General features: G+C 41.2%; 1 long non-coding RNA gene across 1 annotated transcript in view, besides 1 other annotated feature; it reads right to left on the bottom strand.

Annotated features, from left to right (window-relative positions):
* Positions 1-26,068, bottom strand: part of ZBTB44-DT (ZBTB44 divergent transcript) — an 88,665-nt gene that overhangs the window by 31,806 nt on the left and 30,791 nt on the right. The window contains exon 2 of the long non-coding RNA NR_148980.1: positions 2,810-2,958. This is a non-coding gene — a long non-coding RNA (ZBTB44 divergent transcript). The remainder of the gene's footprint in view (positions 1-2,809; positions 2,959-26,068) is intronic.
* Positions 454-955: an enhancer, noted in NCBI's record as "NANOG hESC enhancer chr11:130240792-130241293 (GRCh37/hg19 assembly coordinates)". NCBI's record gives its function as "activates a minimal SCP1, AML or CMV promoter by ChIP-STARR-seq in primed H9 embryonic stem cells {active_cell/tissue: H9 hESC(primed)}" and the evidence as "EXISTENCE:reporter gene assay evidence [ECO:0000049][PMID:30033119]".

Raw genomic sequence — 26,068 nt, 5'->3', positions numbered from 1 at the left:
ACAAACAAAAAAAAAAATTAGCCGGGCATGGTGGTGCACATCTGTAGTCCCAGCTACTCAGGAGGCTGAGACAAGAGAATCGCTTGAACCCAGGAGGCAGAGGTTGCAGTCAGCCGAGATTGCACCACTGCACTCCAGCCTGGGTGAGAAAGCAAGACTCCGTCTCAAAAAAAAAAAAAAAAAAAAGAATACTAGTGTTAGTTTGGATATTAAATCTTTGTAAAGCTGAATTTTTTTTTCTTTTAGGGTAAAAATTAAATAGAAATAGACAGAAAAGAAACATTGCCTCCCATACATCGGTTGGACCTCTTATGCACCCCATCTTTGCAGAGCACCATTCTAGAGAGTGGAGTAAACATGATGGGCAGCTACAGCAATGCCAGCAATCCCCTCAGGTCTTCTGTCGGGAAAGGAAGAGCAGAGAAAGGGGGATAGGTTTGTGCAAAGGCCGTGTCAGCTATTTTTTAACCTGTGGGAGGCAGTATATTATGCATTTTCAACCTTGTCTAATTATAAGGATTACTGAGCACACCTGTTAAAAGAGATGCTCAGACTTCTGCCCAGACTTTCTGAATCAGAATCTCCCAGGAGGAGCGCCTGAGAACCTGTGTTTTTCACAAACACCCCCCAGAGAGTCTTGTGAATAGGCAAGTTTGGGAAATACACAAAAGGAGAATAAACATGGGCTTTGCAGTCAGACCACGGTTAAATAACGACTCAGTCTTTAGCAGTTGTGTAGCTTCAAGCATGACATTTAATCTCCTTATGCCTCCTTCCCTTATTTAGAAACGGGGGCCCATCATAGGGCAGGGCAGGCGTAAGGATTAAATGAAAGGACGTACCACACTGGGCACAGGGCCCAGCACTCAGTAAACGGTACTCTTTATTCTGGACAGGGTTCTGGGAGAAGACATTAACTTACATTACCAACCTACAAACACATTCAACCTTCATTCTTGAAGCTGAGATGAAGAGACAGTACCTCTGTTTTTCTTGCTTGTTCAGCATCTGTTCCCCATTTTTCTGGTAACAGCCCGTGGATTTTCCTGGAGAACCACCACCACCTCTCATTGCAGTTTTCGTGGTTTGGGTGGATGGATTTAACCCTTCCATGTCTAGGGGCAAGAGTGACCTACGTCTGGCCAATTTTCAGGCTCCATTCCCCGTGGGCAACGTGATTGGCTCAGAACAAGAACCATGAGCCAAACTAGTCCAGTGAGACTCAATCTTGGGACTTCCACTAGAGCTCAGAGCCTGCCACTGACCTGCTGGCCGCAATCTTGCCACAAGATGGGCAAGAAGGAGAATAAAGCTCCCTTGACCAGAAGTTTATATGGCAACAGAAGAGCAAACATGTGGCAAGGATGGGACCAAGTCTTGAAGAGATTTTCAAGCCCTGAATCTAGATAGGCTGAAGCACTACTATCCCGGGTCTTTTCAGTTATATGAGTGAATAAAAATGTTCACCTAAGACAGTTTGATTTAGATTTTTCTGTTACTTGCATTGAATTGGGTCTCGACAATGATTTTTAAGGCATTTCTTCTATTTTAGTCTCCAGCTTACTGTGAGGTCATGGGAGCCCTTTTCTTGTATGATATATTTCCTAACTTTACTAGAAGAAGCAATCCCATAGCTAGCATTTAGACTTGCTGGGTACTGGAAATCGCTGAAGCATTGTCAGCCTCTGGGAATGAGAAAACCCAAATCCTTTCCATCTAAATGGATTCTTTTTTTTTCTCAGAGTGGGAAGGAGCTGATATTTAGGTAGGACTCTGTTTTTGCTCTCCAAACTCTGAGAAAGGTTACCATGAAAGGGCAACACAACAATTAAAAGCTGTTGGGTATGAGAATGACAAGTTTGGCTGGCATGCAACACAGCGCAGCTGAGATGAGTATTCCCGATTAATGGGCAAACACGACACAATTGTCTCTTTCAATCCCAGAGTGCTAATATATAATACACAATCAGAGGGCATTGTACATTGGAATATAACTCATTAGCCAGTGCCAGTTCTTTGCCCCCAAGAAATACAGTAGTACGTTGTCTATAAAAGCCATAATTTGAGTCTTTTCAATTTGCAGCTATAGACCAGGTGAGGGATTTCACTTTGGGAAGAATCCAAATGGAATTGGGAATGGGAATTCTTGTTGGAATTCATCATTAAGGCAAAACCAGTGGTTAGGAGAATGAGGAATTGGGAGGCGCGGATAGGACGGGAAAGTGGAAGGAGTTTGACCTCCCATGCCTGCCACCAGGAGTCCCAATCAAAGAACTTAGGCGAATCTGGCTGAGGCAGCATCTGGCCTTTATGAGGGACATCCTAGAATGGACATGTCCCTGTGTGACTGCCCAGTGAATACCAAATGCGTTGGGTCATTTTATTCAAACCTGGAGGACTTGGCTGCCCAAGCACATGCTCTGTGGATGAACTCACTTTTGCTTTAGTCCATATGGCTGCTGAAGTCTGAGCAGCTCAGACAGCAAGGGACAGGAGAGAGAAGAACACAGGGCGGGTGATCAGAGAAATCCAAGGAAAGGATTGAATTACTGTCAGATGAGAGGGTGTGGGAGCTTCTGGGACAGATTGATGGGACAGTCTAACTGGCTGGCAGGGAGCTGTGAACTGTCACAGTCCACTGTGGTGAGCCAGCTGCCTTGTGTATGGCATGCATGCAGAGTGCAGGCTAACTAGGCAGGAGGAAATCTTCACATTTACCAAAAACACCCAGCAGTACACCAGCCCACCCAACCGGAAAACAAAGCATGCCCTTTAGACTCCAATTCCCCCAAACCAAAGAAATACTTACAGTGTTATCCAGCTTCTTGTTTCATAGGGCATTGCTCTACCAGTCTTTCACAAACACTTATTAAGAGCCCTCTCAACGTCAGGCACTGTGTTGGGTACTGGAGACATGGAGGAAATATGTACTATACTTCCCTCTAAGGAGCTCACCATCTAGTAAGCAATTGCAAAAAAGGAAAAAATACAGTAAGAGCTAGGATGAAAGAGAGTGCAAGAGTGGACAAAACAGACAAAAATTCAGGTGAGTTACTTTCTAGTGGTGGTCAGGGAAAGGCTTTCTGAGAAGATGGTATATGAACGCAGACATGAAAGATGTGAGGGAATGTGCTTTGTCAATTTCTGGGATTATGCTTGTACGTTTCATCATTGTTTCTGCTGCCCTCAAGGAGATTGCAAAACATCACACATGCATACACAAGTGCACCCACACAGACATATTTACTTTTATTTACGAATATAATACCTCTGCCAAACTATCTAAAAGTTGTGTTCTACTGATGACATTCCTGGTAATGATAATAGGTTTGAAGGGAGCAAACCATCTAGGATCTCCTGCTCTGACCTCCAGTGATCGAGGACGTGCCGACATCTGCTAAGCCTCTGGCTCAGATTGACGGGTAAATCTCTCGTCATGGGAGCTTTATTCTCATTCCAAATGAAGCTAAATGGTCCATAAAATTAAAGTCCTGACCTTTTCATATCATATTCTACCAACCAGATGGAACAACATGCTCAAAAAAAGAAAGACAATCAAGATGTAAAAATATACACACAAAACATACACAGAAAAGACAAACATTAAATTGTTACTAGATCTGAATGGCCATGGGGGATATTGTTACCATGGTGAGGTCATGGATAAGAGACTGGATGGGTTGGGAGGAAACTATTGGGTGGGCATAATGGAATCTGTGGCATTCAAAGGGTGGTTTCTGTGATTAAAGACACAAACTCTTGAGCTTTAAGTAGATCACGACTTGTATAATCTGGTGCCTGTCTTCTGGGCACAGTTCCTGGAACAGTGCCTGCCACATGGTAGATGCTCAATAACTGTGTATTGAGTGACCAGTGAACTGAACAATCAAATGGTCTCTAACGAAGTTTCTTTTATTTCATTTAATTTTATAAAAAGATAATATGTTGACATAGCTCAACATTTTAGTCCAAAATGATGTTGCCAAGTCTTGATCTTATCTCATTCCCTACCCATCCAGTTCCCACATCCTGCACATCGGACTCCCCACTTAACCATTTTCATTAGTAGTCTCTTATTTATCCTTCCAGATTTTGTTTATGCAAATCAAATACAAATAGATTTTTATTTTTATTATGCAAAAGATAACACAACACTTTGATATTAACCTTGCTTTTTCACTTAATAACGTAACTTTGAAATTTTTCCACACTCAACGTGGAGAGTGCCTTCCATTATTTTATTTATTTATTTATTTATTTATTTTGAGATGGAGTTTCGCTCTTGTTGCCCAGGCTGGAATGCAATGGAGCAATCTCGGCTCACTGCAACCTCTGCCTCCCAGGTACAAGCGATTCTCCTGCCTCAGCCTCCTGAGTAGCTGGGCTTACAGGCATGCGCCACCATGCCCGGCTAATTTTGTATTTTTAGTAGAGATGGGGTTTCTCCATGTTGGTCAGGCTGGTCTCGAACTCCTGACCTCAGGTGATCCGCCCGCCTCGGCCTCCCAAAGTGCTGGGATTACAGGCGTGAGCCACCGCACCCGGCCATGTTCCATTATTTTTACAGTTCTCGTTATTTCCATTTGCATGGGCATTCCAAAATTTATTAAACCAGACAATATGGATGGACATCTGTGTTGTTTCCAATTCTATCAAAAAACAAAGGTCTAGGCCGGGCACAGTGGCTCACGCCTGTAATCCCAGCAATTTGGGAGGTCGAGGTGGGTGGATCATTTGAGGTCAGGAGTTCGAGACCAGCCTGACCAACATGGTGAAACCCCATCTCTACTAAAAATACAAAAATTATCTAGGCGTGGTGGCAGGTGCCTGTAATCCCAGCTATTAGGGAGGCTGAGGCAGGAAAATTGCTTGAATCCAGGAGGCAGAGGTTGCAGTGAAGCCAAGATCATGCCACTGCACTCCAGCCTGGGCGACAGAGTGAGACTACGTCTCAAAAAAAAAAAAAAAAAGATAGCATAAGTTCTCAAAAACAGAATTGCTGGGTCAAAGAGTCCACGGACTTGTAATTTTGGTTTATTACTATTATTATTATGAGAGACTGGGTCTCACTCTGTCACCCAGGCTGGAGAGCAGTGTTATGATCATAGCTCATTGTAACCTCAAATTCCTGGGCTCAAGTGATCCTCCTGCCTCAGCCTCCAAAGTAGTTGGGACTACAGGCACATGCCACCACCTGGCTAATTTTTTATATTTTTTCTAGAGACACCCAGGGTGGTCTTGAGGTCCTGGCCTCATGCGCTCCCCCTGCCTCACCCTCCCAAAGCCCTGGGATTATAGGCAGGAGCCACTGTGCCTGCAGGTAATTTTACTTACATATGCAAACATATAACCAAATTGCCTCCAAAGGGGCTTTAGTAATCTATATGCACAGCAGTAAGGTAAAAGAATCCCTGTTTCCCCACAGCCTTGCCAATAGTTTTATCAAACTTACTTAAACTTTTGCCCATCATAGGTTAAAAATCACATCTCAGTACGGTTCTGCTTTGTGTTTCTCTTGCTGTGAGGCAGAACACCTTTTCATTTCTAGGAATGGACTATTCATACATTTCTTATGTTTATATTACGTTAGTAGTCTTTCAATACTTGGCTTATAGGAGCACGTTGTATAGAGATTAGCCTTTTCTTTGTCATGCATGTTGCAAACACTTTTTTCCAGTGGTGTGTTGGTAAATAACAATGGCTCTCTGGGAAAAATGAACTCAGCTTTATAGCACTTGCCAATTTCCATTGTGTAAATAGCCCCATGATGGACAATTTCAAGCTACCGACATTATGTCACTGAATGTGGAGTTCAGAAGAAATGTGCAGCAGCACACAATTATATACACAATACAATACAAATACACATTTGTATTTGTACAACACAAACACAACAATAGATGTGGCCAGGCGCGGTGGCTTACACCCGTAATCCCAGCACTTTGGGAGGCCGAGGCGGGTGGATTACATGAGGTCAGGAGTTCAAGACCAGCCTGGCCAACATGGTGAAACCCTGTCTCTATTAAATATACAAAAATTAGCCAGGCATGGTGGCACATACCTGTAATCCAGCTACTTGGGAGGCTGAGGCAGGAGAATTGCTTGAACCCAGGAGGCGGAAGACGCAGTGAGCCAAGGTCATGCCACTGCACTCCAGCTGGGCAACAGAGTGAGACTCCATCTCAAAAAAAAAAAAAACAAAAAACAATAAACCTCAAGCATTAATGATAGCAAAATGTAGTTAAATAATTAGGAAGTGATGAGTTTTTCAGTATTTATTACTTTTGATTCTAACATACTTTAAAGTTTCTATAATTTAATTTTTAATAATAACTGTGACAACCAGCTTGCAAAATTCCTGAAAACGTAACAATCAGCTCATATAAGTGCAGGCCAGCTCCAATGCACCTTTTTTTCCCAGTTTGTTGATTGCCTTGATTGCCTTTTGACTTTCTTTCTTTTTTTGTTTGTTTGTTTTTTTACTTTCTTTCTAATGATGTTTTTCACCATACAAAAACTTTAATTTTGATGCAGTTACACTTATCAATCATATTTTTTATGGGCTCAGAATTTTGATTGTGTGTTTTTGTTTTTGTTTTTCAGGCAGGTTCTCATTCTCTTGCCCAGGTTGGAGTTTCGTGGCTCAATCATGGCACATTGCACCCTTGACGTCCTGGGTTCAAGCAGTCCTCCCACCTCCGCTTCCTGAGTAGCTGGGACTACAGGCACTCGCTACCATGCCCAGCTAATTTTTTAATTTTTTTGTAGAGATGGAGTCCCACTATGTTCTCCAGGCATGGGCAGTCCAAAAACAAATAAACAAAAACAAAAAATAAAATGAGACAGGCACAGGGAAGCTCTTTATAAACTACAAGAATAATTCTAATGTATCTCTCCAATAATGATAAATACTTTGGCCATTAATTTTCTTTAAGCTGCATCCTTTAAAGATGGCTTTACAAATCAGTGGGGAAAGATGGACTGTTCAACACATGTTGTAAGGAAACGGGATAGGCCTCTGGAAACACATGAAAGTAGGAGCCCCACCTCCCACCATACACAAGGATATGATCCAAATGGAAAAAGATCTAAATGTAAAAATGAAACCATAAAAGTATTAGAAGAAAACATGGGAGGAGTCTTATAATCTTGGAATGGGGAAGGTCTTCCTAATCATTATTCAAAATTCTGAAAGGCTAGGTGTGGTGGCTCATGCCTGTAATCCCAACATTTTGGGAGGCCGAGGTGGGAGGATCACTTGAGGCTAGGAGTTCGAGACCAGCCTGGGCAATATAGCAAGACCACATCTCTATTAAAGAAAAAGGGTTCTAACTGTCTTCAGTAGATAGTGTTGTTCCCACACTACAGATGAAAGAACAGAGGCCGGGAGAGGTTAAATCAATCATGGTGATATGTATTTCCCACTCTTAGCTCTTATTGCTCTTATTTTCTGGTACCCATTCTTCTAGCATTGGCACCTCCCCACTTGGTACACTGTTTCCCAAAGAAGATTTTCTAACAATGAGTAGGAAGAAAGGCCATATAAACATATGGAGCCTGCTTATTAGCCTCTAAATAGCCAAGATCCTAAATTAGATCTGTTCTATTCCTGCTCATCAGCCTTTCTTTTTCTGTAGCAAGGTGAAAATCCCCCTGGCCTAACTTCTCAATATGGCAAGGTCTTGGTTTTATCCCTGGTGTCTTTGGCTGGAAAGGTGTAAAAGGTCATTATCCAACGATATCACAGCTCAAATCAGCCCCAGATCTTCTTTTCATATCGGGAGGAAAATGTTGGTTTTCTAAAGCTCTTTTTTGATTTAGAATGTCCTTATCTTGACCTTTTGGATTAGATTGTACCTGGAAAACAGAAATTCTGAGTTGGGACCAGGTCCTCTAAAAAGTCTCTTTCCTATGAAACAGCTAGCATGTGGAGTTTCATAATTAGAACTTTTTTTCTTTTTTCTTGAAATGTAAGCTTCTATTAAAATGCAAGTAGCCCCTGGGAAGGTTTACACTCAAGTTTTATTGACCATGCCCACCTTAGTGTGAATTCATTCAGCAGATTATTTATTTGGAGCATATTTCCTCAGAGGAAGTAGGAGGCAAAGGAGGATAAGTAGTAGAAAAGAACACTAAGAGGAGAAGCAGGGGACACTGCTGATGGGGAAAAGAGTGCAGTGATGGAGAAATGGAGACAATCACCAGAGGCTTACCTCCCCCAGTCACTTCTGAGATATGACTGGCAAGCACAGGCAGGGTGAAACAAGCTGATATGTAAGGTGCCATAAGGAATACAGTAAATTAGACAGGTTCTCTGAACCCTGAGGAGAGGCTCTAGTTTAATACCAGAACCAGTCATCTCATTCTTTTCACATATTCTTCTACTTGGTCACTTTTGGCATTGCTCAGGATCCTTCATAAGCTAGAATTAATTTGCAACCAGAAATCAGACCCAACCATTCATAGCATGTAATTGCAGCTGTCCCTTACTGTCAGCAAGCACAAGCTCCCCAAGCAATTTACTACCTGGACAAAACTTTGTTTTATAAGCTTCTCTGTTCTCAACTGTCATTCAATATCCTCCTAGATTCCTCATCTATAAAATCCCAACTCTCCACCCAAGTTCCTATTCCAAGTTTCTTTACAGTGGCCAAGAGTGTCTCTGTTCCCACCGTTATATTGTGATTGCACACACCTTCATTTAGGTTACATGCCGAGTCCTCTGCTGCCCTTTGGTGAAAGTCCAAGTGAAGGCAAAACTCTGTTGAAGAGAATATCAGCAAAATGGCAGGCTAGGAAGGGTGAAGCTTTTATTTCCCCACAGAAACATATGAGGGGAAAAGAAGCAGAAACTCTTTGAACCAACTTTATCAGAACTCTGGAAAACAAAGTTGACAGCCACCAAGCAAATGTCCAATCAAGAAAAAGCCAGCCAGGCGCAGTGGCTCACGCCTGTAATCCCAGTGCTTTGTGAGGCCAAGGCGGGTGGATCACGAGGTCAGGAGATCAAGACCATCCTGGCTAACACGGTGAAACCCCGTCTCTACTAAAAATACAAAAAATTAGCCGGGTATGGTGGCGGGCACCCGTAGTCCCAGCTACTCGGGAGGCTGAGGCAGGAGAAAGGCGTGAACCCGGCAGGTGGAGCTTGCAGTGAGAGGAGATCACGCCACTGCATTCCAGCCTGGGTGACAGTGCAAGACTCCGTCTCAAAAAAAAAAAAAAAAAAGAAATAAAAAGAAAAAGCCATCTTCAAAATGGTAGGAAAGTTTTCTGACATTATTTATTACTGAGTCTTACCCCACCCTTCTCCATTATGTGGTTTTGGTCTTGAACTGGCAACAGCCTAGTTCCCAGTACCCTTTCTTGAACCAGAAGGAGCATAGCAGATCTTGTTCACAAATTACTATGTATGTCTGTTCTGGCAGATACTTGAAAAACTGAAACAAAGAGATAGTCTCTGTTTTGCCTAACTCAGAACTCAGGTGAAAAAAGTGGTAGGCACTACTCATAAAACCTGCAAGGCGACTGCAGATCCACAGACTCCTGGGACAAAAAATTACAGGTGAAGATATATAACAGACCATCTAAACCCCAGAGGAGAAGCTGCAGTACGACTAACTAATTCAGACGTTCAAAAGCAGCCATATATATGAGAGAATTTAGGAAGCCATGTGCATGTCCATGCAAGATGCATGCTCAGAAAAGACCTGAGAAGACCTTAAGCTTCCACCTCGAAGCTTTGTGCCTGATCCCTAGGCACAAAACAAGCTTAGCTAAGTGTTAAAAGAATGCCCTAGGACTGGCCGGGCACAGTGGCTCACGCCTGTAATCCCAGCACTTTGGAAGGCTAAGGCCGGCAGATCACAAAGTCAAGAGATCGAGAACATCCTGGCTAACCCGGTGAAACCCTGTCTCTACTAAAAATACAAAAAATTAGTCGGGCGTGGTAGTACGTGCCTGTAGTCCCAGCTACTCGGGAGGCTGAGGCAGGAGAATTGCTTGAACCTGGGAGGCAGAGGTTGCAGTGAGCCAAGGTCGCACCACTGCACTCCAGCCTGGGCAACAGAGCAAGACTTTGTCTCAAAAAAAAAAAAAAGAAAAGAAAAGAATGCCCTAGGACAAGGCCAATCTACAAACACTGACAAAACTGCTGGCATTTAAACAACATTGTTGTTTAATCTTTGTTAAAGCATTAACTAAACATAAGCTAATGGAACAGAGATTTCAGTGATCCAACACAATAGCCTCTGCAAAAATAGTTAAGAAAACTCTCAAAACTAACAGACTATTACAGCCTTCAACAACGAAAAAAGAAAAAGAAAAAGAAAACAGCAAACCCTGGACAAAGGGAAAAAAGTCCTTTCCAGAATTACCATATTATAATGATTGGGCATTTGCCCAATTTGAAAAATCACAAAGTATACAAAGAAACAGGAAAATACGACTCATTCAAAACAACAAAATAAATTGACAGGAGCCATTCCTGAGGAAACCCAGACTTCAGACTTAGACAAAACTCTACATGATTTAAAACAAGAAAACCTAAAGAAAAAAGAAGTAAAGGAAATCAGGAAAAGAATGCTTTGGTTTGAATATTTGTGTCTACCCAAAATTCATATGTTAAAATCCTAACCTCCAAGATCTTAGGAAGGGAGGCCTTTGGGAGGTAATTCGGTAATTATGACAAATTTCCTTATAAAAGTGGCCTCTTGGCTGGGCACAGTGGCTCACGCCTGTAACCCCAGCACTTTGGGAGGCTGAGGCAGGAGGATCACCTGAGGTCGGGAGTTTGAGACCAGCCTAACCAACATGGAGACACCTTGTCTCTACTAAAAATACAAAATTAGCTGAGCATGGTGGCGCATGCCTGTAATCCTAGCTACTCGGGAGGCTGAGCAGGAGAATTATTTGAACCTGGGAGGCAGAGGTTGTGGTGAGCGAAGATTGCGCCATTGCACTCCAGCCTGGGCAACAAGAGCGAAACTCCATCTCAAAAAAAAAAGAAAAAAAAAAAGGCCTCTTAGCCATGCTGTCCTCTGAAAACACAGTAAAAGGATGGCTGTCAATGAACCAGGAAACAGGTCCTCACCAGGCAGCAAATCTCCTTGATTTGATCTTGATTTGCCTCCTTGATCTTGAACTTCCCAGTCTCCAGAACTGTGAAAAATAAATTTCTGTTGTTGTTGTTTATAAGCTACGCAGTTCATGGTATTTTGTTAAACTAGCCCAAACAGACTAAGACAAAAGACATATGAACAAAATGAGAATATCAACAAAGATATAGAAATTATAAAAAGAAACCAAACAGAAATTCTGGCCAGGCACAGTGACTCATGGCTGTAATCCCAGCAATTTGGGAGGCCAAGGCGGGCAGATCACTTGAGGTCAGGAGTTCAAGACCAGCCTGGCTAACATGGTAAAACCCTGTCTCTACTAAAAATAAAAAAATTAGCTGGGCATGGTGGTACACACTGTAGTCCCAGCTACTTGGGAGGCTGAGGCAGGAGAATTGCTTGAACCCAGGAGGCAGAGGTTGCAGTGAGCCGAGATTGCACCACTGCTCTCCAGCCTGGGTAACAGAGCAAGACTCCATCTCAAAAAAAAAAAAAAGAAATTCTGTAGTTGAAAACTAAAAATTGAAATAAATATTCACCAGAGATTCAACAGCTAATTTGAACAAGTAGAAGAAAGAATTAGCAAACTTGAGACAAGGACAATTAGAATTATAAAGTCTGAAGAACAGAAAGAAAAAAGAATGAAGGAAAATGAATAGAGTCTGAGGGAACTATGGCTCACCATGAAGCAGCCTAATATATGTATTATGGAGATCTCAGAAAGAGAAGAGAGAGAAAAAGGGGAAGAAAGGTATTGAAGAAATCTTGGCCAAAACACCCCAAATTTCATAAAAGACACACATCAACAACTCCAAGAAGCCAAAAAACTTCAAGTATGATAAGCTCAAAAAGATCCACACCAAGACACATTATAATCAATCCATCAAAAGACAAAGAAAGAGTCTTGAAAACAGCAAGAGAGATGCAACTCAGTAAGGAATCTTCAGTGAAAATGCCACAATTGTGAGATTTTTACTAACACAAAAAGAAAAAAAAAGAGTATCACTGAATTTTTCATCAGAAACACTGGAGATAGGAAGGATGTGGGATGACATTTAAAATGGTGAAAGACAAAGAACTGTCAACCAAGAATTATATATCTGGCAAAATGTTCCTTCAAAATGAGGAAGCAGTTAAGACATTTTCAGATAAACAAAAGCCAACAGAATTTATTACCATTTAGACTTGCCCCCACAAGAAATGAAAAGGGAAGTCCTTTTGGGTCAAAATTAAAGAGTGTTAGATGTAACTTAAAGCTTTATGAAGAAGTAAAGAGCTCTGCTAAAGGATTTAAAAGAGAAAATACATTTAAAAATTATTATAAAGCTGTATCATTAAACAATGCTGTGAGTTGATTTATGTCCCTTCAAAATTCGTATGTTGAAATCCTAACCCTCAGTACCCCAGAATGTGACCTTATTTGGAAATAAAGCCATTGCAGATACAATTAGTTAAGATGAGGTAATAATAAAGTGGGGTGACCCCTAATCCAATATCATTGGTGTCCTTATAAAGAGGGAAAATTTGGAGACAGACAGAATGACATAAGAAGATGAAATCAGAGATTAGGATAACATTTCTACAAGTCAAAGAATTTCAAATTTTTCCAGAAGTACCGGAAGCTAGATGAGAAGCATAGAACATATTCTCTTACCACCTCAGAAAGATGCAACCCTACTGACATGTTGATCTCAGACTTTTAGCCTCCCAAATTGTGAGACAATAAGTTTTTCTTGTTTAAGTCACCCAATTTGTGACCATTTGTTACAGCAGCCCTAGGAAACTAATATAAGTACACAATATAAAGATGTAATTCAGGACATCAATAACATAAAGTGAGAGGGGAGAGCAGAGCTGTATAGGAGTAGAATTTTTGTACTCAATTGAAGTTAAGTTGGCATTGATTCAAATTACATTGTTATAACTTTAGGATCTTATATGTATTCACTATAGTAGTCACAAAATTATATCTATAGAATATATACAAAAGGAAATGAGAAGGGAGTCAAAACATGTCACTAAGAAAAATCAACTAAACACAAAAGAAAGCAGCAATGGAGTAATTAGAAACAAAAAAGCTAGAAACATAGAGAAAACAAATAACAAAATGACAGAAGTCCTTTCTTAGTAATTACATTAAATGTAAATGGATTAAACTCTTCAATCAAAAGAGATTAGCAGAATGAATTAAAAAATACAATGCAACTATGTGCTGTCTACAGGAGGCTCATTTTAGATCTAAAAGCACAAGTTTGAAGGTAAAATGGTGGAAGAAGATGTTTCATGCAAATAGTAATCAAAAGAAAGCTGGGATGGCTATACTAATAACAGACAAACTAGATGTTAACTTGAAGACTGTTTCAAGAGACAAAGAAAGAGATTATATATTGATGAAGGATCAATTCATCAAGAAGATATACAATTATAAATATATATGAAGGAACCAACAGAGACACCAAATATATAAAGTAAATTGACAGAATCAAACAGAGAAATAGTCAGTCCCACAATAATAATTAGAGACTAAAATATCCCACTTTCAATAATGGATAGAATGACCAGACAGAAGATCAATAAGGATAAGACCAATAAAGATCCAACAGAAAACTTGAACACCACTATAAAACAACTAGATCTACAAACATTTACAGAAAACTCCATCCAGCAACAGCAGAATACACATTTTTCTCAAGTGTGCACGGAACATTCTCTAGAAGTCTTAGTCTATTTTGTGTTGCTATTTTTTAAAAAACTTGAGACTGGGTAATTTATGAAGAAAAAGAGTTTATTTGGTTCACAATTCTGCTGATTGGAAGGCATCTGGTGAGAGCCTCAGGCTGCTTCCACTCATGGTGGAAGGCAAAGGGGAGCTAGTGTATGCAGTAATCACATGGGAAGAGTGAAAGCAAGGTGGGGTGCCACAGTACCAGGCTCTTTGTACAAGCAGCAGGAATTAATTATTTCAGCAATAACTCACTCACTGCTGAGGGGATTATTAAATTAGGCCCCCACATCCTACATTGGGATAATATTTCAACATAAGGTTTAGATGGACAAACATCCAAACTATACCACTAGGATAGACCATATTTTAGGCAGCAAAACAATTTTTAAAGAAATTTTATTTTAGGCTGGGCATGGTGGCTCACGCCTGTAATCCCAGCACTTTGGGAGGCTGAGGCGGGCGGATCATGAGGTCAGGAGATCCAGACCATCCTGGCTAACATGGTGAAACCCCGTCTCTACTAAAAATACAAAAAATTAGCCGGGCATGGTGGCTGGCGCCTGTAGTCCCAGCTACTCGGGAGGCTGAGGCAGGAGAATGGTGTGAACCCAGGAGGCGGAGCTTGCAATGAGCTGAGATTGCGCCACTGCACTCCAGCCTGGGCGACAGAGTGAGACTCTGTCACAAAAAAAAAAAAAAAAAAAGAAATTTTATTTTAGGCTTTAGAGAACTCTAGGAAAAAAAATTTCTTTGAAACAGGCTCTTACTCTGTCATCCAGGCTGGAGTACAGTGGCATAATCACAGCTTATTGCAGCCTCAAAATCCTAGGCTCAAGCAATCCTCCTACCTCAGTCTCCCAAGTAGCTCAGACAACAGCCGCACACCACCATGCACAGCTAATTTTTTTTTTTTTTTAAATACAGGCAGGGTTCCACTATGTTGCCCAGGCTGGTTTTTCTGTTTCATTTTGTTTTTTCCTAGATGGAGTTTCACTCTTGTCGCCCAGGCTGGAGTGCAATGGTACAATCCTGGCTCACTGCAACTGCCGCCTCCGAGGTTTGAGTGATTCTCTTGCCTCAGCCTCCCGAGTAGCTGGGACTACAGGCACGCACCACCACACCCAGCTAATTTTTGTATTTTTAGTAGAGACCGGGTTTCACCATGTTGGCTAGGCTAGTCTGGAACTCCTGACCTCAGTTGATCCACCTGGCTCGGCCTCCCAAAGTGCTGGTATAACAGGCATGAGCCACCACGCCCGGCCCCAGGCTGGTCTTGAACTGGGCTCAAGCAATCCTCCCACCTCAGCCTTCTAAAGTGCTGGGATTACAGGTATAAGCCACTGTATTTAGCCAGAAAATTCTTAATAAATCTTAAGATTTAAATTATGCAAGGTGTCCATTCATCACAATGAAATGAAACTAGAAATAACAAAAATATGTGGAAATTCAACAATATACTTTTAAACAACCAATGGGCCAATGAAGATATGACAAAATGAATTAGAAAATAACTTTAAGACAAATGAAAATAAAAACACAACATACCAAAACTTATGGGATGTAGTGAAAGCAGTGCTAAGAGGGAATATGCAGCTGTAAACCTATTCTTTTAAAAAGGTCTTAGGCTGGGCGCGGTGGCTCACGCCTGTAATCCCAGCACTTTGGGAGGCCGAGGTGGGCGGATCAGGAGGTCAAGAGATCGAGACCATCCTGGCCAACATGGTGAAACCCTGTCTCTACTGAAAATACAAAAATTAGCTGGGTGTAGTAGTGCACACCCATAGTCCCAGCTACTCGGGAGGCTGAGGCAGGAGGATCGCTTGAACCTGGGAGGCAGAGGTTGCAGCCAGCCGAGATCGCACCATTGCACTCCAGCCTGGTGACAGAGCGAGACTCTGTCTCAAAAAACAAAACAAAACAAAAAATAAATAAAAATAAAAAGGTCTTCAATCAATAATCTAACTTTACATCTTAAGAAACTAGAAAAGACACAAATTAAACCAAATGCTAGCAGAAAGAAGGAAATAATAAAGATTAGAGGGGATTAAATAAAATATAGAATAGAAAAACAATACAGAAAATCAATAAAACCAAAGGCCGGTTCTTTGAAAACATTGACAGAACTGACAAACCTTCAGCTAGATTGACTAAGAAAAAGAGACAGAACACTCATATTACAAAAATCAGAAATAAAAGTGTGAGGCCAGTTGCAGTGGCTCGCACCTGTAATCTCAGCACTTTGAGAGGCTGAGGTGGGCAGATTACCTGAGGTCAGGAGTTTAAGACCAGCCTGGCCAACATGGTGAAACCCTGTCTCTACCAAAAAAATACCATCTCTACCAAAAAATAAAAAAATTAGCCAGGTGTGGTGGCACATGCCTGTAACCCCAGTTACTTGGGAGGCTGAGGCGGGAGAATCGCTTGAACCCAGGAGGCAGAGGTTGCAGTGAGCCGATGGTGCCATTGCACTCTAGCCTGGGCAATAAAGTAAGACCCTGTCTCAACTTAAAAATAAATAAATAAATAAAAGTGGGGATATTACTACTGATTTTACAGAAATGAAAAAGGTTGGCCAGGCGCGGTGGCTCACATCGGTAATCCCAGCACTTTGGCCGAGGCAAGTGGATCACCTGATATCAGGAGTTCGAGGCCGGTCTGGCCAACAAGGTGAAACACCATTTCTACTAAAAATAAAAAAATTAGCTGGGTGTGGTGGTGTGTGCCTGTAATCCCAGCTACTCAGGAGGCTGAGGCAAGAGAATCGCTTGAACCTGGGAGGCAGAGGTTGCAGTGAGTCGAGACTGCGCCATTGCCCTCCAGCCTAGGCGACAAGAGTGATGCTCCATCTCAAAAAAAAAAAAGAAAAAAGAAAGAAAAGAAAGAAATGAAAAAGGTTATAAGATAATTCTATGAACAACTGTTTGCCAACACACACTGGGTAACCTAGATAAAGTGGACAGATTCCTAGAAATACACAACCTACCAAAACTGACTCAGGAAGAAATAGAAAATGTAAGAAATAGGAAATAGAATACTATAACTAGTAGGGAGATTGCCTTAGTAATCAAAACATCTTAACAAAAAAAAAGCCCAGGATCAGTTGGCTTCACTGGTGAATATTACCAAATACTTAAGAAGCACTAATAGCAATCCTTCTCAAACTCTTCAAAAGAATTGAAGAGAAGAAACTACTTACAAATCTCATTCTATGTGGCCAGCATTACCCTCATATCAAAGCCATACAAAGACACTACACAAAAAGAAAACTACAAATCAATGTCCCCTATGAATATTGACACAGAAATCCTCAACAAACTACTATCAAAAAATTCAGTAGCATATTAATAAGGAGCTATACACCATTACCAAGTAGGTTTTATTCCTAGAATGCAAGAACAGTTCAACACACAAAAAATCAATCAGTATAATACACCATATCAACAGGATGAAGGAGAAGAAAACCACATGATCATCTCAATTGATGCAGAAAAAGCATTTGACAAAATTCAACACCCTTTCATGATTTAAAAAAATCAATAAACTAGGAATAAAAGGAAATCTTTTCAACTTGATAAAAGCTATTATTAAAAACCAATGGCTAACATCATACTTGATACTAAAAGACTAAAAGCTTTCCCTCCAAGATTAGGAATAAGACAAGGATGCCTGGTTTTGCCACTTCTATTCAAAACAAAACTGGAAATTGTAGCCAGAGCAACGAGGCAGGACAAAGAAATAAAAGGCAACCAAACTGAATCAACTGAAGTAAAATTATCTGTGTTTACAGATGACATAATCTGAAATGTAGGAAAAAGTAAATATTCTACCAAAAACCAGTTAGACCTAATAAACAAATTCATAAAACTTGTAGGATACAAAATCAACACTCAAAAATCAGTTGTATTTCTACATATTAGTAATGAGCAATCTGAAAAAGAAATTAAGAAAGCAATTGCATTTATGATAACATCAAAAAGAATAAAATGCCTAGAATAAAATTAATCAAGGAGGTGAAAGATTTGTCCACTGAAAAACTACAAAAGCTGCTGAAAGAAACGAAAGGTAAATGGAAAAACATCCCATGTTCATAGATTGGAAGCCTTAATTAATATGTCAATATTACCCAAAGCAATTCAATGCTATCTTTATCAAAATCCCAATAATGTTTTTTGCAGAAATAAAAACAATCCATCCTAAAAATTAATATGGGCCTCGAGGGACCCCAAATAGCCAAAACAATGTTGAAAAATAACAAATTTTTCAACTCACATTTTCTGATGGTGCTACACCATCACAGTGTGATACTGCCATAAAGACAGATCTACAGACCAAAGGAATAGAATAGAGACCCCAGAAATAACCTGCTGCACATACAATCAAACAATTTTCAACTGGGTTGCCAAGGCCATTCAATGGAGAAAGTAGTGTTTTCAAGAAATGATATTGGGAAAACTGGATATTCACATGCAAAAGAATGAAGTTACACCCTTATCTTACACAATATGCGAAAATTGACTCAAAATGGATCAAAAGTCTAAACATTAGAGATAAAACTATAAAACTCCCAAAAGAAAACATAGTGAGCCAGGTGTGGTGGCTCATGCCTGTAATCCCAACACTTTGGGAAGCGAAGAGTGGCAGATCACTTGAGGTCAGGAGTTTGAGACCAGCCAGGCCAACTTGGTGAAACCCCATCTCTATTAAAAATACAAAAATTAGCTGGCATGGTAGCATATGCCAGCAAAAATTAGCTGGCATGGTAGTCTTAGCTACTTGGAAGGCTGAGGCAGGAGAATTGCTTGAACCCAGGAGACGGATGTTGCCATGAGCCAAGACTGCGCCACCTCACTCCAGCCTAGGTGACAGAGTGAGACTCCGTCTCAAAGAAAAAAAGAAAAGAAAACATAGTGGAAAGCTTCATGACATTGGATTTGTCAATGAATTCTTGGATATGACATGAAAAGCACAGGCAAAAAAAGAAAAAAAAATAGATAAATCGGACTTCATCAAAATTTAAAAATTTTGTGTATCAAAGAAAACTATGAAGGGCTGGGTGAGATGGCTTACACCTGTAATCCCAGCACTTTGAGAGGTTGAGGTGGGTGGATCACCTGAGGTCAGGAGTTCGAGACCAGTTTGGCCAACATGGTAAAACCCCTATCTATACTAAAAATACAAAAATTAGCCAAGTGTGGTGGCATGCACCTGTAGTCCCAGATACTGGGAGGCTGAGGCACGAGAATTGCTTGAACCTGGGAGGTGGAGGTTGCAGTGAGCTGAGATTGCACCACTATACTCCAGCCTGAGCAACAGAACAAGATTCCATCTCAAAAAAAAAAAAAAAAAGAAAAAGAAAAAAAAGAAAGAAAGAAAGAAAGAAAACTACGAAAAAAGCAAAAATGCAACCCATAGAAAAGGAGAAAATATTTGTAAGTCATGTAACTGAGAAGGGATTAATATCCAGAATACATCTTATTCGTAAAACTCCTACGATTCAACAATAACAACAAAATTTGTTTGAAGTAGGTAAAAGACTCAAATAGACGTTACTCTAAAGAAGATAAACAATTGGTCAATAAACACACGAAAAGATGCTCAACATCACCAGCCATTAGGGAAATGCAAATCGACACCACAAGGAGATACTACTTCACATTTAAAGAATAGCTATTATTGGCCGGGAGCGGTGGCTCACACCTGTAACCCCAGCACTTTGGGAGGCTGAGGCAGGCAGATCACGAGGTGAGGAGATCAAGACCATCCTGGGTAACATGGTGAAACCCCGTCTCTACTAAAAATACAAAAAATTAGCCAGGCGTGGTGGCGGGTGCCTGCAGTCCCAGCTACTGGGGAGGCTGAGGCAGGAGAATGGCGTGAACCCGGGAGGCGGAGCTTGCAGTGAGCTGAGATTGCACCGCTGCACTCCAGCCTGAGCGACAGAGCGAGACTCTGTCTCAAAAAAAAAGAATAGCTATTATTTAAAACAAAAGGAAAATAACAAGTGTTGGCAAGAAGGTGGAGAAATTGGAAACCTTGTGCATTGACTGGTAGAAATGTAAAATGGTGCAGCCACTATGGAAAACAGTATGGTGGTTCCTCAAAAAGGGAAACTTAGAGTTATCACATATCCAGCAATTTCATTTCTGGGTATATACACAAAAGAACTAAATGCAGAAACTCAAACAGATAACTTGTACATCAGTGTTCATAGCAGCATTCTTTGCAATAGCCAAGATGTAGAAAAAAACCTGTGTCCATCAAAAACTGAATAGATAAATAAAATGTAATATATACACACAATGGAATATTACTTATCCTTAAACAGGAATGAAATTCTGGTACATGCTACAACCTGGATGAACCGTGAAAATATTATGCTAAGTAAAATAAACCCGACCCAAAAAGACCACATAACCAGATCCAATCCAAACATTGTATGATTACACTTGTATATTACTAAGAATAGGCAAATTCATAGAAACAGACAATAGAATAGTGATTACTAGGAGCTTAAGTGAGGGTGAACTGGACAGTCATTGTTTAACGGGTATGAGTTTCTGTTTGGGATTGTGACGTTCTGGAAAGGATTAGTAGTAATGGTTGGACAACAATTTGAATGTATTTGGTGCCACTGAACTTACACTTAAAAATGGTTAATGAGGTAAATTTTATGTTATACATTTTTTTTAAAAAAAGTTTAAATTATGTTGAAGACAAAATGTGTTCTTTCCTTTTTCTTTTTTTGCGGGAAGGGGATTCAGGATGTTAAATATTTTTTTAAGAGATGGAGTCTCACTCTGTTGCCCAGACTGGCCTCTAACTGCTAGGCTCAAGGGATCCTCCCACTTCAGCCTATGAAGTAGCTGAGACTAGAGGCACGCACCACCTTGTCAGGCTTAAAATGTGTTTTCATAACCCTCTCAGACTATCCACTAAGTGTCATTTAACTTTTTTTCTTAACCAAAATTTATTGAACACTAACCAAATATCAGCTGTCTGGTAGGTCCCCAGCTTTCAAAGATACATAAAGTATTCTTCATAAAGGACTTTATAATCTACTTAGAAAGGCATGGAAGTAAATTAGCAGACAATACCATGTGGATGAGTACCATGATACTGGTAAGGATAGGGACCTTGGGAAGTACATTGATGGGAACATTTAGCTTACGTGAGAAATGTCTGGGAACACTTTTGAAAGAATGTAAGTGACTGAGCTGAGTCTCAACGAACGTGTATTAGTTGGCCAGGTGAAATGGGGAAACGGCTTCTCAGAAAAGAGGACTAACATGTAAAAAGATAGAGTAAAGAGAACATGAGACTGAAAAAAACATGGAAACTTATGAAGTCAGTAGAAATGGGGTGGGAAGAAGATGAATATTGGAGAGCTGGATGAGGCTCAGAAAGTTAATACCTTATATGATATGGGAGTGCACACTTTATCTTACAGGCAATGAGTAGCCATTCCATAAGAGTTCAGAGGCCAGGCACTGTGGCTCAGGCCTGTAATCCCAGCACTTTGGGAGGCCGAGGTGGGCAGATCACAAGGTCAGGAGATCGAGACCATCCTGGCTAACACAGTGAAACCCCATCTGTACTAAAAATCAAAAAAATTAGCCAGGCGTGGTGGCGGGCGCCTGTAGTCCCAGCTACTGGGGTGGCTGAGGCAGGAGAATGGCGTGAACCCAGGAGGCGGAGCTTGCAGTGAGCCGAGATCGCGCCACTGCACTCCAGCCTGGGTGACAGAGCGAGACTCCATCTCAAACACACACACACAAAAAAAGTTCAGAAAGAGGAGTCAGCTGTATCTTTAAAACAGACTTCCTGGCTACACTGTGGAAAAGGGACAGAAGAGAGGTTCAACTCCTCATTTAAAGTGAGGACTGATGAAGGACCTGAAGCAAGAGAGTGGCAACAGTCACAGAGGCCAGGGGACAAGAGTCAAGAAACGTTCATGATAAAGACTCAGAAGGCCAGGCATGGCGGCACATGCCTGTAATCCCAGCTACTCAGGAGGCTGAGGCAGGAGGATCACTTGAGCCTAGAAGGTCGAGGCTGGAGTGAGCTGTGATCACACCACTGCACTTCAGCCTGGACAACAGAGTGAGACCCAGTCGGTACAACAACAACAACAAAATTAATTAGCCAGGCATGGTGGTCTGTGCTTTTTGTTTTGTTTTTTTTTTTTTTTTTGAGATGGAGTCTCACTCTGTCACCAGGCTGGAGTGCAGTGGCACGATCTCGGCTCACTGCAACCTCTGCCTCTCAGGTTCTAGCAATTCTCCTGCCTCTTCTTCCCGAGTAGCTGGGAATACAGGTGCGTGCCACCATGCCCAGCTAATTTTTGTATTTTTAGTAGAGACAGGGTTTCACCGTGTTGGCCAGGATGGTGTGGTCTTAACTACTCAGAAGGCTGAGGTGGGAGGATCGCTTGAGCCTAAGAGGTCCAGGCTGCAGTGAGCTATGATCGTACCACTGCACTCCAGCCTGGACAACGGAGTTGGTCCCTGTCTCTAAAGAAAGAAGACAATGACTCCAAAGGCCAGTGGCCAGCTGGATGTGGGTGACGGGAAGACTCTCACTCAGGTTTCTAGCTTGGGAAACTTGGCGAGTGGTGGTACAATTCATAAAAATTAGAAACCTAGAAGAAGAAATAGTTTTGATACAAGGGAGATAATAAGTTCTGGGGTTTTTTGTTTTTTTGTTGTTGTTGTTTGTTTTTGTTTTATTTTGTTTTGTTTTTTAGATGGAGTCTTGCTCTTTTACCCAGGCTGGAGTGCAGTGGCACAGTCTCGGCTCACTGAAGCCTCCACCTCCGGGATTCAAGCAATTCTCCTGCCTCAGCCTCCCGAGCAGCTGGGATTACAGGCGCGTGCCACTATGCCTGGCGAATTTCTGTATTTTTAGTAGAGATGGAGTTTCGCCATGTTGGCCAGGTTGGTCTCGAATTCCTGACCTCAAGTGATCTGCCTGTCTCAGCCTCCCAAAGTGCTGGGATTATAGGTGTGATTCACCACGCCTGGCCTTTAGGTTCTGTTTGGAACTGTTGTATTAGAGGTGATTGTGGGGCAGAAACAGATGGCTATTTAGGTGTGGAGTTAGGAAAAAAGCCTGACATACAGATATAGATTGGAGGGTGCACTGGACAGAAAGGAGGATTTGCCTTAAGTGAAAGGAATTAATGTCTAAATGTAGAATCCCATTATTAGAAGTAAGTCTACCCCTTCCACAGCAGGGGAGATTAAGGAATGGAGCAGCTCCCCTATAGGACATTGACATCGAATCACATGGGCAGATGCCTACTCAGTGTTGTGTGTAATAAAGCGTATTAGAATAAACCGAGTATGGATAAGCCCGGGAGCTTTCCAGACTGGGTTTCATTTTGAAGCAAGAGGGACTTCTAATATATATCTTGTCCGTGGCAAAGCAAAATGCTAAATACCTTTTATATTTGAGATAAATTCTTTGAGAATCTTGTCAGCAACCAGAAAAGCATAGCTAACCAAAAAAATGAAACAAAATAAAATAAAAATAAAACAAGTGTTGGTGTGTTTTATTCTTTTTTAAATGGGCATTCATTATCAATGTCCCCACATCTGTTGTTTCCTTCTACTGCAGACAGAAATTCTTCTTCATAAAAGGTGGATTCTATATGCAGAATTCCTAAGGAACTAGATCACATCATATATGGAAGAAGACTGGGCTTTGGAGTAAGAATATCCTAGCTGAATCCTGTTCCAACCATGTACATGGTCATTGTCAAATTCATTTATTCACTCATGCATTCATTTATTCATTCATGCAACAAACATGTACAGAGCACATTTTATATGTGTTATCCTATATACATATAATACTGAGTAAAAAGTCACAGCTCTTGCTCATAGACCAGTGAGAAGGAAGACATACCAACAAAATTACAGCATAGTGTCCGTGCTGGAAGAGTGAGGAAGATGGTGCATCAGACTGCTTTAATGAGACTGGAGAAAAGGAAGAAAAGGTAGGGAAGGAGGTAAGAAGTATGAGAGAGTAAAGGGCCCTGGGGACATAGGAAACAGAGAGAGAGAGATTGACAGGGAATTCCTAGTAGAAGGAACTACAAGACTGAAGTCAGGGAGATATAAGATAGTATGGAGTTGGGTTCCAGGAGCAGCAAGTCATTTTTTGGTAGTTGGACAATAGGGTTGGTCATGAGGGACAGGGATGGGTGACAAGGCTTGATGCATAGTCAGGGGCAAGATCAGTGCACTCTGCCTATTTTGTTGCCTGAAGGTACCACTGAGGCATGTTCCTCATGCTCCTCTTAGACTCTATAAATCCTACTCTCTTCAGTAAATAGCTCTTTTTCATTCTATAGCTGTCTCCTACTCTCTGCCTAAGAAACCCCCACTCATTATCTGGGGACCTTGACACTGTGTGCATAGGCTTCTCACTAAATTCTGTGGCATCCTATGTTAATCAAGGTTCTCCAGGGAAACAGAACCCATAGGATATATTTGCACAGAGAGAGAGATATTTATGTTAAGGAATTGGCTCACACAATTGTGGAGACTGTCAAGTCTGAAATCTGTAGGCCAGCAGGCAGGAAACTCAGGCAGGGTTTTTATATTGCAGTCTTTTTTTCTATCTTTCTTTATATAGAGACAGGGTCTCACTCTGTCACTCAGGCTGGAATGCAATCATACAATCATAGCTCTACAGCCTCGAACTCCTGGGCTCAATTATCTTCCCAACATTCCTGAGTAGCTGGGACTACAACATGCACCACCATACCTGGCTAATTTTTTAAAAATTTTTTGTAGAGATGGAGTCTTGCTATGTTGCCCAGGCTGGTCTTGAATTCTTGGCCTCAAGTGATCCTCCCACCCTGGACTCCCAAAGCACTGAGATTACAGGTATATTGCAGTCTTGAGGCAGAATTTCTGCTTCTTTGAGAAACCTCAGTCTTTGCCCTTCAGGCCTTCAACTAGGTGGATAAGGCCCACCCACATTATCGGGGGTAAGCTAGTTTAGTCAAAGTCAGAAAAAAAAAAAAAGATTATAGGCCAATGGCTCATACCTGTAATCCCAGCAATTTGGGAGGCTGAGACAGGAGGATAACTTGAGCCCTGGAGTTCGAGGTTATGGTGAGCCATAATTGTGCTACTGTACTCCAGTCTGGGCAATAGAATGAGATCCTGTCTCTAAAAAAAAGAAAAAAAAAAAGAATGAATCACATCTTTAAAAAAAACTTTACAGCGACATCTAGACTAGTGTTTGACCAAAAAAATGGGCACCATAACCTAGCCAAGTTGACATACAAAATTAACCATCACACATCCCCTTGAGATTTCAAACTCTCTAGATATATCAGGCAGGGGATAGCAGGAAACAGAATTCACTGAAATGAATTTTATGTAAGAACTATTTTTAAAGGTATCATCAGATTCTTTTTTGAGACAGGGTCTCACTCAGATTTAAAGGAACAAACAAGAGGTGCCAAGTTACCTGTTAAGAACTGTAAAGAATCTGAGATTGTACCTTATTTGAAAGCTAACAAGAGAACCTATTAGTTTCACAGATGCTGGTAGAAGACATGACACTCCTGGGTCAACATGAAGGACAATTTATTGTTCATAATAACAGCAGTAGCCAAAGCATCAGCACCTTTTTTTTTTTTTTTTTTTGAGACAAATTCTCACTCTTGTCACCCAGGCTGGAGTGCAGTGGTGTGATCTCCACTCACTGCAACTTCCACCTCCCAGGTTCAAACACTTCTCCTGCCTCAGCTTCCCAAGTAGCTGGGATTACAGACATGCACCACCACACCTGGCTAATTTTTGTAGTTTTAGTAGAGACGAAATTTCACCATGTTGGCCAGGCTGATCTTGAACTCCTGATCTCAGGTGATCCACCCGCCTCGGCCTCCCAAAGTGCTGGGATTACAGGCGTGAGCCACTGCGCCCCACGAGCATCAGCACTTTTATTCTAGTTTCCCAGGTCCTAATTTCCATGAAGAGTGTGACATGAAAAGAGCCAGATAACAACTGTACATGCAGTGGGGTAAGTTGAGTTATAGGAGAGGGAATTCTGAGCTTAGGAAACCCAATCTTTTGTAATGGGCACTAAATAGGCCTGTCCCTTTCTCTAGAGGAAGACAGTATCTTTCTTATACTGCATAGTAAATATGACTACCTTTTGCTCCAGAGACACTATCTTTATTTTCCAAGGCCACTTAGTATACAAACCT

The sequence above is a fragment of the Homo sapiens genome, chromosome 11, assembly GCF_000001405.40.
Source record: "Homo sapiens chromosome 11, GRCh38.p14 Primary Assembly".
Taxonomy (NCBI): domain Eukaryota; kingdom Metazoa; phylum Chordata; class Mammalia; order Primates; family Hominidae; genus Homo; species Homo sapiens.
This window is presented reverse-complemented; position numbering and strand designations above follow the sequence as displayed.